This window comes from Homo sapiens, chromosome 10 (genome assembly GCF_000001405.40).
Source record: "Homo sapiens chromosome 10, GRCh38.p14 Primary Assembly".
Classification (NCBI taxonomy): Eukaryota; Metazoa; Chordata; class Mammalia; order Primates; family Hominidae; genus Homo; species Homo sapiens.
Genome location: NC_000010.11, coordinates 26,456,465 through 26,469,002, shown reverse-complemented (window position 1 = coordinate 26,469,002; position 12,538 = coordinate 26,456,465). Strand labels below are relative to the sequence as shown.

The following is a 12,538-nucleotide window of genomic DNA, read 5'->3' as shown; positions in this document are numbered from 1 at the left end:
ATCTCAGCCCGCAGCAGTTGCACAGAGATCAGAGGAAGGCAGACACCGCCACCTCAGGAGGGGTCAAATCCAGGTAACCCCAGGAGCAGTGCATAAGCCTGTGGGGACACGACTGTCCTGCCACTGGGAGCCACAGAAGGTGCAACAGGAATGATGAAATCCTTTGCACAGGGCAGTGACATCGGAGGGTTCCTGTGAGACACATCCAGGACTCTGTGAACAGGAGCAGGAACAAGCCAGAAAGAGCCGATGAGCTGGGCTTGCAGAGACTCCACCAAGGATGGCTGGACCAGTGGCTATTACTTAGTTACTGTTATATTAGGTTGGTGCAAAACTAATTGTGGTTTTGGCCATTACTCTTAATTGTGAAAACCGCAATTACTTTTGCACCAACCTAATAATAATGTTTCCCAATTGTAACTTAGTCTGGTGTGACCTAGAGAAACAGGGAACCCACGAACATATACACATAACAATCACTTGTTCATTTTCACAGAAACTCATTCATCTACACAGTGACGGGTCAAGGTTTTCTGCCCTGATTTTTCCCTTCTGATTTCATTCACTCATTAGCTCAAGAAGCATTTATGGAATGCAAACTCTCTGTTAGGTCATTGCTAGAATTCATACCTTGAATATTTGTTAAATGAATCAATAAAGTTTAAAGTCTGAAGAGGGTGACAGACATAAAAATAACTTAGCACTATACTATGTAACAATAATTTTATAAAAGGAATAAATAAAATAATAAGGAGCCAAAGAAGAGAGACTATTATTTCTCTTGGGATGAGGAGTTGCTCTTGGCCACCTGAGAGGATGGGGAGAAGTTAGCTATTAAGAGCATGAGCAAGGATTTTGGATTCTGAAAGACATGGGTCCAGCTTTTCATTTACTGTGGATGTTGGGAAACTTAGCCATAATACGGCCTTAGTTTCTTCATCTGTAAAATTGGAATATTTCAGTGGGCTTTGTAAGGATTCCATAAAATAATGGGTGCAAAGTGCTTGCCAAATGTCTGATGTGTGTTAAACACTCAGTAAGTGGTGATAGCGGTTGTAGTTTCTATCATTGTTGCTGTTCTTCTTATAGTTAGTACATAAATCTCATAAGCGATTACGAGACACTTAAAAGCTCTTGCAGGTTTGCATAGTTGAGTAATTTGGTGAGATCAAAGCTAAGCTTTGGGTTTGGTTCTACATTTTCTCAGAAACAGTGGTTCTCAAAGTGTGAGTCTTCAGACCAGCATCACCCAGACACTTCTTACTGAAATAAAAATTCTTGGCCCCACCTCAAAAGTATTATTGCTAGAGACAGAGTCTTGCTGTGTTGTCCAGGCTGGAGTGCAGTGGCATGATCGTAGCTCACAGCAGTCTTGAGCTCCTGGGCTTAAGTGATCCACTCACCTCAGCCACCTCTATAGTAACTGGGACTATAGGTGTGCACCATCATGTTGGGATAATTTTAAAAATCTTTTGTAAAGACAAAGTCTCACTATGTTGCCCAGGCTGGTCTTGAACACAATTATGGAATCAGAACTCTTGGGGTGGGGCCCGATAATCTGTGTTTAGCAAGCTTTCCATATGATTCTATTGCATATTAAAGTTTGAGAACCACTGCTCTACAGGTAGGTAACAACTTTTTTTTTTTAATTTAAAGGCAAAGGCAAGTAAGTATGTAAAGGGATTATGAGAACTAAATACATTAGTGAAGGCAAAACTTGCTTTTGCTTCATGTCAAGCATGAGGAAAAAACAGCATCCCTCATACTTCTATTCTCAAAGTTAAAAATGCATTAGAAGGCTGGGCACGGTGGCTCACGCCTGTAATCTCAGTACTTTGGGAGGCCAAGGCAGGTGGATCGCTTGAGGCCAGGAGTTCGAGACCAGCCTGGCCAACATGGTGAAACCCCATCTCTATATTAAAAAAAAACATTACAAATGATCACATCTTTTTATTATTTAGAGGTACAGAATGAAAAAAAATCTGGTGTTAAGCTATGTATTAGGGAATCAAACTCATTCTCACTATTAATGTTCCTGCCCTGGACAACTACATAATTTTTTTTTTTTCCATAGGGTCTTGCTCTGTCATCCAGGCTGGAATGCAGTGGTGTGATCATAACTCAATGCAGCTTCAAACTCCTGGGCTCAAGCAATCTTCCCACTTCAGTATCCTGAGTAGCTGGGGCTACAGGTATGCGCCACCATGCCTGGCTAATTTTTAAATTTTTTGTAGGGACGAGGTCTCACTACGTTGCCCAAGCTGGGCTCCACCCACTGGCCTCAAGCAATCCTCCCATTTCAGCCTCCTGAGTAGCTGGGACTACAGGTATGTACCACCATGCCTGGCTAATCTTTAAATTTTTTGTGGGGCCGAGTTCTTGCTATGTTGCGCAGGCTGGTCTTGACCTCCTGGCCTCAAGTGATCTTCCCACCTCGGCCACCCAAAGTGCTGGGATTATAGGTGTGAGCCACTGTATCCAGCCAACTGGATAACTTCTTGAAGCAAATATTCACTTAATTCCTGTTGGATGATGAAAAACTTTCTTTCTTTACTCATATTCAAGAAACATACTCACAGTGTAATGATAATGATGGTGATGGGCCTCCTATTCTTTGACACTTCTCCCATTAAGAAGTGGGGTCTGTGTCCCATCGCCTTGAACTTGACCAGCCTTGTGATGGCTGTGGTGGATGCCACCATGTGACTCTGGAAGTCCCCCCATCAAAAGCCACCTATCTGGGCCTCTCAGAATATTCATTCTCCAGACATTCCTTCTGGAAGCCCAGCTGCCTCGATAGTAGAAGCCCAGGACACCCGGAGGGGCTGTAGAAGGGGATCTCATCACTGCCAGTCCTAGCTCAGCCCAGGGACCAGGAAAGAGAGTGAAAAACCCTCCAGATGAGCCCAGTTTCCTGCTTTTTGGGTCACCCCCAACTGCTCAAGTCTTCCCAGCTGAGGTCACAGACATCATGGAGCTGATACAAGCTAGCCCTGCTGTGGACTGTCGGAATTCCTGACCCACAGAACCTGCAGCCATAATAAAATGGTCTGCTTTACACCTCTAAGTTTGGGGTGGTTCGTTGAGCAGAAATTGATAAGTGTAACAAATTATCCTAATACCTACCATTTCCAGGGCACCTGCATCTGGCAATATATTATGCTTTAGAGGTTATGCCTCTCATCCTTTCCACTTCTCTGCAAAATATATTATCCTCATTGTGCAAGTGAAGAAATGAAGGCTCTGAGAAGATAGGTATCACACAAGGACACACATCTGGTGAATGACATGTTTATGTCAAAATTCAGTGCTTAAACATGCCCAAAATGTCAGTCTTTAGTCACCTAAAAATGATAATTACTAAGTGATGAACATTAACAATTAATAATGACATAATTATAATTTTTTCTTTAAAAATGTAAATATCTTTTCTATGGAGAATTTGAGCATTGTATCTACCCATCAGAAGGTGCAAAAATCATTAATTTATTATTAATTACAATGAGTAATTATTATATCATTATGACACATAATATATAAAATGTCAGCATTATTACTAATTTATTTTCTTTTGCCATAATGATGAGATGTTTGTCACGAAAAAAATAGAAATTTGTGTCCTTGAATATGTCAACTAGCTAGACATGTACCTGTCTACAGAGTGTCACAAACAGCAAACTAGTTAAGATCTGAGCACATTCATGAAGCAATGAAGGGTGCCTGTCAATTCAGTGGACATCTGATCACATTTTATGCTCTACATGAATTTCTTCAATTTCTTTTTGATGAATACTGACACACACTTTCCTATGGGTAGTTTTTTCATATATGGAAAATGACAGCCTTTTAATTTAATCATAGTTTTCTCTGCACAGTCTACATGGGAATCACGCCTGGTCTGCAGCTACTGTATTTTTCATTTCTCTCTTACAGCTGTGCGAGAAAGCACATGTCTAAAATGGAAATAATGTCTTTGCAAACAGAGAATGCCCCAGAGTTCTCTGTTGGTTTTGCTTAGACCACAAAAGTGAATTCTCTATTTAATTCATATATCAATAAAATAAAAACAGAGAATAAGGAACTTGGATTTATCCCTGTTTGTCCTTCAGATGGTACCTGTTGGGGCCCTGCTGTATCATCAGAAAACTTATTAGGTGTGAATGTGGTAACTGAATGAGTCAAACTCAGGTTCAATGCTAACTACTGCATGATGTTGAGTAACTTACTTAACTTGGTTCAGCCTCAGTTTTTTCATCTGTAAAACAGGGCTGGGAAAATTCATAAAATTATTATGGTCTGGGCATGGTGGCTCACGCCTGTAATCCCAGAACTTTGGGAACCTAAGGTGGGAGGATCTCTTGAGGCCAGGAGTTTGAGACCAGCCTGGGCAACACAACAAGAACCTGTCTCCACACACACATACAAGTAATAATAATTAGTTGGGCATGGTATCGTGTTCCTGTGGTCCCAGCTACTTAGCAGGTTGAGGTGGGAGGATCACTTGAGCCTGGGAATCTGAGGCTGCAATGGACCATGATTGTGCCACTGCACTCCAGCCTGGGTAACAGAGTGGGACCTTGTCTCAAAAAATAAAATAAAATAAATTTGTCACGAGGACTAAATGAGCACAGTCAGGCCTGGGCACAGCAACTGGTACATAGCGGTGTTTGCATATAGGTGGGTATTAATACATTTAAAATGTACTGAAAACTAGTTCCAAATAGTGGGGGTGACTATATACTGTCTCCTAAAATTCCAATGAAATGACTTTATAACAGTCTGGAAAGCATGGAAGGATGGTATGAGTAGATCAAAATGTTGAGAAACTTCTGGAAGATGCTACAGAGAAGGGACTGTAGATACTGAGTAACTAAAGCAAAAAATGTGGAGTCCAGTATGGATCTAGAGGAGGGCTGCTGAAGACAGAGCCAAGACAGACACCCAAGCTCCAGGTCAGCAAGGATGGGAATCCAGGGACAACCAACCAGAGGAATCACTATTTAAAATGTTATGGTCCTGTTCTCACTCATAAGTGGGAGTTGAATAATGAGAACACATAGACACAGGGAAGGGAATATCACACACCAGGGCCTGTCCGGGGTTGGGGGCAAGTGGCGGGGAACATTAGGACAAATACCTAATGCATGTGGGGCTTAAAACCTAGATGATGGGTTGATAGGTGCAGCAAACCACCATGGCACATGCATACATATGTAACAAACCTGCACATTCTGCACATGTATCCCAGACCTTAAAGTAAACATTTTTTAAAAATGCTATGGGCCATTTGACTTCCCTGTCAACAATGGGCTGCCATAATCACCCCCAGTCTACAATCAGCAAGAACCCTTGCCTTAAATAACGTGGAAAAAATACCTCATTGATTCCAAAGGTGGGTCTTGAGCCAAAAAACAAGTAGAGCAGTGCCCAGAAAGCTTGGGACACCATAACAGTCAGGCAGATTCCCATCCAACCAGCCAAGCATCCAATCAATCAATCAGAAGGGAGTGGGAAAAGAAATTTCCACATTCCAGTGAAGTTTTACATTTTTTTAAAAATTTTAGACATGGGGTCCCACTCTGTCACTCAGGCTGGAGTACAGTGGCACAGTCATAGCTCACTACAGCTTCAAACTCCTGGGTTCAAGTAATTCTCTCGCCTTAGCCTCCTGAGTAGCTAGGACTACAAGTGTGTGACACTATCCCCAGCTAATTTTTTGAATTTTTTGGTAAAGATGGGATCTCACTATCTTGCCCAGGCTAGTCTTGAACTCCTAGCACCAAATGATTCTCCCACCTCTGCCTCTCAAAAGGCTGAGATTTCAGGTGTGAGCCACCACGCCTGGCCTTCCAGTGAATTTTACTAAGCACTCTTGGGTGCTCCATTTTCAGTACATATTTTTGCTGGCTTCGGCAAATAACGCTCAACGATGGCTGAAGTTTACTGTCTGATCTTCATCCAACCCAAAGGGTAGATCTGTCTATAAATGCCCATGTTCATCTACAGAATGCCACAGTCAGCCTCTCAGTCCAGAAGGAGGCTTGCTCTAGTTCCCAAGTAAATCCATACCACCTTCTATGTCATTCTAACCCTTTCATTAAAATTATGAGTCGACAATCGGGGTCATCAAACATTTGAGGAGTAACAAGAGCATGAAGCATCGAGATTAAAAACCAAGATATTGACCCCAGAGGAAATTGAGTGGATGAAAGAAATAGAAGAGAGGCTTTTAAGAAATTCCAATTGCTGTCTTCAGAGAGATTTAAGATGACAGCAACAAGAATGAGTTGCCACTAAAAAAAGCATTCCTAAAATAGGAAAACAACAAATCACTATTACTTACAAATATAGATGAAAAAATCCCAAACAAAATTTTCAAAAATTGATCCCATAAATACATTAAAAGGATAGTACATAATAACCAAGTATACAAGAACAACTCACCAGTGGGAAATGTATCAGAATAATTCACTAAGTTAAAATATTAAATGAGATACTATATGATCATCTCAATGCATGGTGAGTAGGAAGTTCCTAAAATCCAATACCCACTCCTGATAAAAATCTCTTAGTAAGGTTGAAATGGTTAGTGTTTTCCTTAACTTGATAGAGGTTATCTACCAGAAACCAATGGCAACCATCATTCTAACTGTAAAACACCAAAAATGTTCCAATGTAAAACACAAGTCAAAGGGGTCCCGCCATTATTGCTACTATTTAGTTTTGTTTTGGTTGTCCTTAACAATAAGAGGTCCAGAAAAAGATCTTAAATTTATAAACAGTCAATGGCAGGACTTGGGAAACTTTTTTTTATAAGGGACAAGACAGCAAATACTTCAGGTTTTGCAAGTCAGATGGTCTTTGTCAGAACCACACAAGTCTGCTGTTGTAGACACTACGTAAACAAACAAGCATGGCTAGTGCCAATAAAACATTATCTACAGAAGCAGCCACGTGGATTTGGCCTGCAGATCCTGGAGAAAAGACAAAGTTAGCAAAATATGGAGGTGATACAATTGTCTACATAAACAATTCAAGAGAATTGTAGTGTGAATAGTAGAATTAATAAGGTGGCTGATGTGAAGTAAATATATACACATCAGTAGTGTTCCTATATATACACCAATAAATATTAGAAAATGACATGGCAAAAGATCAGATTTACAACAGCAACAAAAACTACGAAAAACATAGAGATAAATAATAAGCAATTTGTCAATTCAAGATAGAAAAAATAATAAAACTATATGGATAAAAGAAGACGAAAAAATGAAGGGAACTACCATGTTACGGGAATTAATGTAGGGAGAGACATCTTTACCATATTAAAATGGTAACTCTTCCTAAAAGAATATGAAACTTTTTGCAACTTCAATTAGATCCCCAAATGGATTTATAAAAAAGAAAAGAAAGTCAGCAAGTTGACTCTCAACTTTATCTGAGAATAAAAGCTTATTCCTAAAAAAAAAAGATTATTCCTAAGTAATAAAAATGTATTTTAAAGAAAAATAAACATATTTGGCACTTCAGGATTTACATAAATAAACCAACGGAAAAAGACAAAGATTTCAGAATTTAAATTTGATGTATGAAAAAGTTAGCAGTTAGTAATCAGTAGAAAAATAACAGAGTATTTAATGAGTCGTATTGAAATAATCGGCTATATATTTGGAAGAAATAAAGTCAGATCCCTATCCTCATTGCCATATGCAAAAGAAATTCTTGTTGAATTATGAATCTATGCATAAAAGCAAAATTATAAGTCATATAAGAAAAAAAGTTTTTCCTTCCTTCCTTCCCTCCCTCCTTCCCTTCCTTCCTTCTTTCCTTCTTTCTTTCCCTCTCTTCCTTCGTTTTATAATACTTTTGTGGTAGATACTTTTGACTGGCTCTCTGAACGCCCTCTCCAAGTGCCTTTTATGATGTGTTCCTATAATATAGAAGCTGGAAATCTAGAAATGATGTTTCCCAGGCTCCCTTGCAGTTAGGATTCTACCTGTGATTAGTCAAGCAGACACATTGACATGAGACCTAGGAGGTGGAAATTAGCAACATGAAGTGAAAGCCAATGTGGAAAACCACAATCTTCTGGGGGCAGTTTTGTCCCTACCATCTTAGACTGAGGAGTGAGTGCTGGCAGCAGTGAGCTTTTACCCCAGCATCCATTAGCTATTCTTCCTGATGCTCTCCCCGCTCCCCATCCAACCCTCTGACAGGTGTGTGTTGTTCCCCCAATGTGTCCATGTGTTCTCATCATTCAGCTCCCACTTATAAGTGAGAACATGCAGTGTGTAGTTTTCCGTTCCTGCATTAGTTTGCTGAGGATAATGGCTTCCAGCTCCATCCATGTCCCTGCAAAGGACATGATCTCATTCCCTTTTATGGCTGCATAGTATTCCATGGTGTATATTTACCATATTTTCTTTATTCAGTCTATCATTGATGGGCATTTGGGCTGATTCCATGTCTTTGCTATTGTGAATAGTGCTATTGTGAACAATGAACATATGCATGCAAAAATATAACATCCTACTGTGAGGGCAGCTCATAAAAAAGGGGAAAGAGATTTCTCCACTCCATCCTATTGTGGCTTTATTCTCCTAAACATTGCTGGGGAGTCAATGTGAGGAGGACAATTTGAGATGGACAAGTGCATTGCAACAAATTCTTTGTCTTTCTTGACTACATTCTAAAATTCTAAATGACTCTAAAAATTCTTAGGGAAAAGAAGATGCAAACTACAGTGTATCCTTCATGTATTGTTTCTGACTAGCAAATTTTATGATAATTATTCCTAAGAAGGGTGTTTTATTTGTTTATTTATTTGTTACTGTGCTCAGTAACTTTACAGAGAGTGTTATTCTTGTCATCAGCTAATTATTTTCTTTATTTCTCTGGAGGCAAGAACTGTAATTAAGAATTTAGCATTATTTGTCTTGGTTCAGAACTGAGTCATCATTAAATTTTCCAAGCAAAAATACATTATTTTGTTTATACAAATTATTTTTAAGACTAAGTAAATAGAAAATAATAGTAAAAATTTGGCTTACAAAATTATGACCTTAGCAATGGTAATAAATTTAATTTCTATATTTGACTGATTAATAGGGGAAAGACATAAATATATTATAGGGGATTTGAGTAAAAATTAGGCTTAGCTTATAAATTATTTGTTGAAAACTAGTTATGTGCCAGAAAATGTAAATAAATTTCTCAAAGGAGAAATAGCCACATTCTCTGACCAAGATACAACAATAATGAAAATGAAAAATAAGGGCTAAAACAAATTTTAAAAAAAACTCCTTAAGTAGAAAACATTTTCCTTAACAGCTGAGGAAACAGAGAAGAAAATTTCAAAAGGACAATATCAAACTACCTAGAAAATAAAAAAGTCGGGAAACAACAGGTGCTGGAGAGGATGTGGAGAAATAGGAACACTTTTACACTGTTGGTGGGACTGTAAACTAGTTCAATCATTGTGGAAGATAGTGTGGTGATTCCTCAGGGATCTAGAACTAGAAATACCATTTGACCCAGCCATCCCATTACTGGGTATATACCCAAAGGACTATAAATCATGCTGCTATAAAGACACATGACACGTATGTTTATTGCGGCACTATTCACAATAGCAAAACTTGGAACCGACCCAAATGTCCAACAATGAGAGACTGGATTAAGAAAATGTGGCACATATACACCATGGAATACTATGCAGCCATAAAAAATGATGAGTTCATGTCCTTTGTAGGGACATGGATGAAATTGGAAATCATCATTCTCAGTAAACTGTCACAAGGACAAAAAACCAAACACCGCATGTTCTCACTCATAGGTGGGAATTGAACAATGAGAACACATGGACACAGGAAGGGGAACATCACACTCTGGGGACTGTTGTGGGGTGGGGGGAGGGGGGAGGGATAGCATTAGGAGATATACCTAATGCTAAATGACAAGTTAATGGGTGCAGCACACCAGCATGGCACATGTATATATATGTAACTAACCTGCACATTGTGCACATGTACCCTAAAACTCAAAGTATAATAATAATAAAAGAAAAGAAAAGAAAATAACCACAGTAAAGAAAATACACACTTATACACAATTTAATTAAAGTCAAATTCAGAGGAAATTTTGGAGAAAAAAGTAATGAAAGCAGACAATAATTAAAACAGAACAGTAAATAAGAATAAAGTAGATAATAATAGAATTAGTGAAAGTATATTCAAAAATATCAAAGAATTTGGTGCTTTAAAATCCTACCAGAATCTAAAACATGAAGTGAAATATGGCCTTAATTTTTTGATGATAGCATATTATAGTCTTTGTTTGTTACCTATTTTATCATTAATAACTTATTACTACTGCCTTACAATGGTCCAGTGATGCTCTGATATAAAAGGCAAATAATGTATTAAGATACAACTTAGGTTTGTTATGATGTAGACACTGAGAGAAAAAAGTGATACTGGAAAATTAGCTTTGTTAATTTTTTGGTCAGGTGTTCATGGATCTTTCCAGAAAAACTTTCAGTAATCCCTCTCTCCCTCCCTCCATCCCTCCCTCCCTTCCTTCCTTCCTTCCCTTTTCCTACCTTCCTTCCTTCCTTTCGACAGAGTCTTGCTTGGTCACCCAGGCTGGAGTGCAACGGCAAGATCTTGGCTCACTGCAACCTCCGCCTCCTAGGTTCAAGCGACTTTCCCACCTCAGCCTTCCAAGTAGCTGGGACTAAGGGTGCATGCCACCTCGCTCAGCTAATTTTTATATTTTCAATAGAGACGCGGTTTCACCGTGTTGGTCCAGCTAGTCTCAAACTCCTGACCTCAAGTGATCCACCGACCTTGGCCTCCCAAAGTGCGGAGATTACAGGCATGAGACACCACATCCAGAGAGTTTCAGTAATACTTTCAAGAAATCATTCATTAAGTCCTTGCACTTTCGGCTCCATACAACTTCTCTGCTGTCCAAGGGCTTGACAAAGGTATTAGTCAGGCCATAAAAATATCCAGATTTCATAAATACCAATAAAGACCCAGCTTTAAGTGTTTTCTGAAGGAATGGTGGTAACAAGTTTACCCTTTCAGAGCAAATAATTTAGTCATTGTAGCTATGATCCAGATTATCTTTAGGATAAATCTTCCCTGATCTTTGTTTGGTATTATACTTATTCCTGTTATCTAATCTCTATAGATATTGCTTCAGAGGGAAGCAGAAAACTCATACTTATCTGTGTCTTCCTCTCCCTCCTCATTTTTAAGCCCTGCAATTATACTTCCCATTGCATAGAGAGCATTTCCACCAGGCAGCCCTACCGGTGGTTTAAATGCAACATGGCCTCCTTCCAGCCTCCTCTTCAGCCTGTTCCCAGGTCCCCTGGCTTACCAGTATAGGTTTTGGTATAGGGAGATCTAAGCCAGATGTTATCTTGGGAACTGGGGACAAAGTCAGCACAGAGAAACCCTGGATGAAAATCAGATACTGAGTTAGGAGTTGAACAGTGCAGTGAAGTGAGGCTGCGACTGGATGTCTGGGTAAAGGATACCAAAATCAAAGGTGAGGCCAGGCACAGTGGCTGATACCTGTAATCCTGGCACTTTGGAAGGCGGAGGCAGGAGGATTGCTTGAGGCCAAGAGTTCAAGACCAGCCTGGCAGCAGAGTTAGACCCTGTCTCTTAAAAAAGAAAAATTCAAATGCGATAGTTACCAGAAATTGGGGAACTGAAAAAGAAGCGTACATTAGAATTTGAAAAAGCAGACCAGAGAAAGGGAAGACAAGGCTCGGAGAAGAAACACAGGTGGGCTGACTTGATGGCTATGAACATCTGCAATGACCAAGCACAGCCTAGCTCCTGTGCTGTGAGTGTCTAAAAGGAGCCACTTGGACACAAGGACTCCTCTTTTCAGATAGTATCCCTCTCTTGCTAAAGAAACAAACACCCAAAAAACCAGCCTACATTTATCTTGACCTATAGCCCAATAACCTTCACTAAGCCAATCTTCTCAGAAGCATCACCTATTCTGGAAGTCCCAAATATGATCAGTTTGTCTGGTCAGTTTAGCCTTTCTAATGCCCTTGAACTTGTCCCACACTTTCCCCAGCTACCATCCTAGTACAGGTCTTCCACATCTTATCAGGATTCTGCCCCCAGCTTACTTTTCATCTTCCTATCTCCAATCTCTCCTTCTTTTCTTTTGTAATTATTTTTCATATGCCTACACAGGCTCAAACAGTCTCTCCTTTTTTTTTTTTTTTTTTTTTAGACAGGTTCTTGCTCTGTCACCCAGGCTGGAGTGCGGTGGCATGATCACGGCTCATCGCAGTCTCAACCTCCTGGACAAAAGCCATCCTCCCACCTCAGCCTCCTGAGTAGCTGGGAATACAGATGCTCGCCACAGTCTCTGCTTCTTAAATCAGCTTCTATAATGCCACCAGAGTTTTCTTCTTAAAACCCAGTTCTGTCATATTCTTTCAAGTAGCAAAACTTTTCAGTGGCTCTCTACTGTCCATAGGATTTAATATAAACTCCATAAG

The 12,538-nt window shown here is 39.7% G+C and overlaps 1 protein-coding gene across 2 annotated transcripts in view, besides 1 other annotated feature; it reads right to left on the bottom strand.

The window, feature by feature from the left end:
- The window catches only part of APBB1IP (amyloid beta precursor protein binding family B member 1 interacting protein), a 129,463-nt gene that overhangs the window by 98,801 nt on the left and 18,124 nt on the right, over positions 1-12,538 (bottom strand). The gene's annotated exons all lie outside the window — the stretch shown is intronic.
- Positions 3,850-3,899: a silencer, noted in NCBI's record as "silent region_2235". NCBI's record gives its function as "represses an Ori minimal core promoter by ATAC-STARR-seq in GM12878 lymphoblastoid cells {active_cell/tissue: GM12878}" and the evidence as "EXISTENCE:reporter gene assay evidence [ECO:0000049][PMID:35858748]".